General features: G+C 41.7%; 2 annotated features.

Moving 5' to 3' along the window:
• Positions 2,013-2,524: an enhancer, noted in NCBI's record as "H3K27ac-H3K4me1 hESC enhancer chr5:91597975-91598486 (GRCh37/hg19 assembly coordinates)". NCBI's record gives its function as "activates a minimal SCP1, AML or CMV promoter by ChIP-STARR-seq in primed H9 embryonic stem cells {active_cell/tissue: H9 hESC(primed)}" and the evidence as "EXISTENCE:reporter gene assay evidence [ECO:0000049][PMID:30033119]".
• Positions 2,525-3,034: an enhancer, noted in NCBI's record as "H3K27ac-H3K4me1 hESC enhancer chr5:91598487-91598996 (GRCh37/hg19 assembly coordinates)". NCBI's record gives its function as "activates a minimal SCP1, AML or CMV promoter by ChIP-STARR-seq in primed H9 embryonic stem cells {active_cell/tissue: H9 hESC(primed)}" and the evidence as "EXISTENCE:reporter gene assay evidence [ECO:0000049][PMID:30033119]".

Here is a 3,896-nt window from a genome sequence, read left to right on the forward strand (position 1 = left end):
CCCAGAGATTCTGGTATGTTGTGTCTTTGTTCTCATTGGTTTCAAAGAACATCTTTATTTCTGCCTTCATTTCGTTATGTACCCAGTAGTCATTCAGGAGCAGGTTGTTCAGTTTCCAGGTAGTTGAGCCGTTTTGAGTGAGATTCTTAATCCTGAGTTCTAGTTTGATTGCACTGTGGTCTGAGAGATAGTTTGTTATAATTTCTGTTCTTTTACATTTGCTGAGGAGAGCTTTACTTCCCAGTATGTGGTCAATTTTGGAATAGGTGTGGTGTGGTGCTGAAAAAAATGTATATTCTGTTGATTTGGGGTGGAGAGTTCTGTAGATGTCTATTAGGTCCGCTTGGTGCAGAGCTGAGTTCAATTCCTGGGTATCCTTGTTGACTTTCTGTCTCATTGATCTGTCTAATGTTGACAGTGGGGTGTTAAAGTCTCCCATTATTAATGTGTGGGAGTCTAAGTCTCTTTGTAGGTCACTCAGGACTTGCTTTATGAATCTTGGTGCTCCTGTATTGGGTGCATATATATTTAGGATAGTTAGCTCTTCTTGCTGAATTGATCCCTTTACCATTATGTAATGGCCTTCTTTGTCTCTTTTGATCTTTGTTGGTTTAAAGTCTGTTTTATCAGAGACTAGGATTGCAACCCTTGCCTTTTTTTGTTTTCCATTGGCTCAGTAGATCTTCCTCCATCCTTTTATTTTGAGCCTATGTGTGTCTCTGCATGTGAGATGGGTTTCCTGAATACAGCACACTGATGGGTCTTGACTCTTTATCCAATTTGCCAGTCTGTGTCTTTTAATTGGAGCATTTAGTCCATTTACATTTAAAGTTAATATTGTTATGTGTGAATTTGATCCTGTCATTATGATGTTAGCTGGTGATTTTGCTCGTTAGTTGATGCAGTTTCTTCCTAGTCTCGATGGTCTTTACATTTTGGCATGATTTTGCAGCGGCTGGTACCGGTTGTTCCTTTCCATGTTTAGCGGTTCCTTCAGGAGCTCTTTTAGGGCAGGCCTGGTGGTGACAAAATCTCTCAGCATTTGCTTGTCTGTAAAGTATTTTATTTCTCCTTCACTTATGAAGCTTAGTTTGGCTGGATATGAAATTCTGGGTTGAAAATTCTTTTCTTTAAGAATGTTGAATATTGGCCCCCACTCTCTTCTCGCTTGTAGGGTTTCTGCCGAGAGATCCGCTGTTAGTCTGATGGGCTTCCCTTTGAGGGTAACCCGAACTTTCTCTCTGGCTGCCCTTAACATTTTTTCCTTCATTTCAACTTTGGTGTATCTGACAATTATGTGTCTTGGAGTTGCTCTTCTCGTGGAGTATCTTTGTGGCGTTCTCTGTATTTCCTGAATCTGAACGTTGGCCTGCCTTGCTAGATTGGGGAAGTTCTCCTGGATAATATCCTGCAGAGTGTTTTCCAACTTGGTTCTATTCTCCCCATCACTTTCAGGTACACCAATCAGACGTAGATTTGGTCTTTTCACATAGTCCCATATTTCTTGGAGGCTTTGCTCATTTCTTTTTATTCTTTTTTCTCTAAACTTCCCTTCTCACTTCATTTCATTCATTTCATCTTCCATTGCTGATACCCTTTCTTCCAGTTGATCGCATCGGCTCCTGAGGCTTCTGTATTCTTCACGTAGTTCTCGAGCCTTGGTTTTCAGCTCCATCAGCTCCTTTAAGCACTTCTCTGTATTGGTTATTCTAGTTATACATTCTTCTAAATTTTTTTCAAAGTTTTCAACTTCTTTGCCTTTGGTTTGAATGTCCTCCCATAGCTCAGAGTAATTTGATCGTCTGAAGCCTTCTTCTCTCAGCTCATCAAAGTCATTCTCCATCCAGCTTTGTTCCGTTGCTGGTGAGGAAGTGTGTTCCTTTGGAGGAGGAGAGGCGCTCTGCTTTTTAGAGTTTCCAGTTTTTCTGTTCTGTTTTTTCCCCATCTTTGTGGTTTCATCTACTTTTGGTCTTTGATGATGGTGATGTACAGATGGGTTTTTGGTGTGGATGTCCTTTCTGTTTGTTAGTTTTCCTTCTAACAGAGAGGACCCTCAGCTGCAGGTCTGTTGGAGTACCCTGCTGTGTGAGGTGTTAGTATGCCCCTCCTGGGGGGTGTCTCCCAGTTAGGCTGCTTGGGGGTCAGGCACTTGAGGAGTCAGTCTGCCCGTTCTCAGATCTCCAGCTGCGTGGTGGGAGAACCACTGCTCTTTTCAAAGCTGTCAGACAGGGACATTTAAGTCTGCAGAGGTTACTGCTGTCTTTTTGTTTGTCTGTGCCCTGCCCCCAGAGGTGGAGCCTACAGAGGCAGGCAGGCCTCCTTGAGCTGTAGTGGGCTCCACCCAGTTCGAGCTTCCAGGCTGCTTTGTTTACCTAATCAAGCCTGGGCAATGGCGGGCGCCCCTCCGCCAGCCTTGCTGCCGCCTTGCAGTTTGATCTCAGACTGCTGTGCTAGCAATCAGTGAGACTCCGTGGGCGTAGGACCCTCCAAGCCAGGTGCGGGATATAATCTCGTGGTGTGCCATGTTTTAAGCCCGTCGGAAAAGCGCAGTACTCGGGTGGGAGTGTCCCGATTTTCCAGGTGCGTCCATCACCCCTTTCTTTGACTCAGAAAGGGAACTCCCTGACCCCTTGCACTTCCCAAGTGAGGCAATGCCTCGCCCTGCTTCAGCTCGCGCACGGTGCGCACACCCACTGACCTGCGCCCACTGTCTGGCACTCCCTAGTGAGATGAACCTGGTACCTCAGATGGAAATGCAGAAATCACCCGTCTTCTGCGTCGCTCACGCTGGGAGCTGTAGACCGGAGCTGTTGCTATTCGGCCATCTTGGCTCCTCCCCCCATTTCCCTATATTTCATACCTTCTTACACAGAAGGTAATAATTGATTCCCAGATTTGTTGTTTATATGCTCTTAAACTTAATAAAGACCTTATTTATGTATAGGAAGGGCCATTACACCAAAGTTAACATCATGCTAGGGCAAAATTATGTATTTTCCCATTAGTGTCATCTATCTTGGAGAGGGCATGGAAAATGATTTTTATAATATTTTTACTATTAAAAATTAATATAAAATATCTGAAATGGAGTTGACAAATGGAGATTATTTGTTCCAATTCCTATTTATTTATGAAAAAATTGAGGCTCAAAGCTACATCATTTTACTAACAAAATATTTGCACTATTGTTAACATGTATTACATTCACTTGTAGTATTATCCTCAATTTACATATATGAATATTGATTCAACTGACTTAAGTAATTTATCTAAAGTTACATCACTGGCCATTGGTGAATGAGAGACTTGAACCTACATAATCTGTCTCTGAATTCTGTGGTCTAAACAATATGTAAAATTCTTATCTTTAAATTTATATTCAAGTGATCTTTCTCTGGCTCTCTTATATCTCATCAGTAAAGTAGAAAAACAAAATAAAAGTAAACCAACTTTTTGAATGGAATGTTGGTTACATTTTTTACCTTCTAACTAGGAATCATTTTTAAAAATAAAACTCTGGTGAGTTGCATCCAGCCCAGGAATATATAAATGACAATTGCTGAAAGAGATCTTTAACTAGGGTTTTTATGTTACCTGGTGACTGGTAGTTCTCCCATCTAAAAAAATCATAATTTATTTTTTATTAATACAGGATTGGTTTGGTTTGGCTCACAGATCTTGGCCACTGTGTCCTCTCTCGGTTACACTGCATACTCTCAGGCTGTAGCAATGGAGAGAATCAGAATTTACTCTCTTAGATGGGAAGAACCACTTTCTTATTAGGGTGCTAGATGAGAATGACTTAAGAATTGCTCCTGGCATTTTCATGTTTTCATGGAAGCTGTCTCTCCATTTCTTTATCCCAAATGGTAACAGTAACGGAGAAACTTGTTCCA

This window comes from Homo sapiens, chromosome 5, assembly GCF_000001405.40.
Source record: "Homo sapiens chromosome 5, GRCh38.p14 Primary Assembly".
Taxonomy (NCBI): Eukaryota; Metazoa; Chordata; class Mammalia; order Primates; family Hominidae; genus Homo; species Homo sapiens.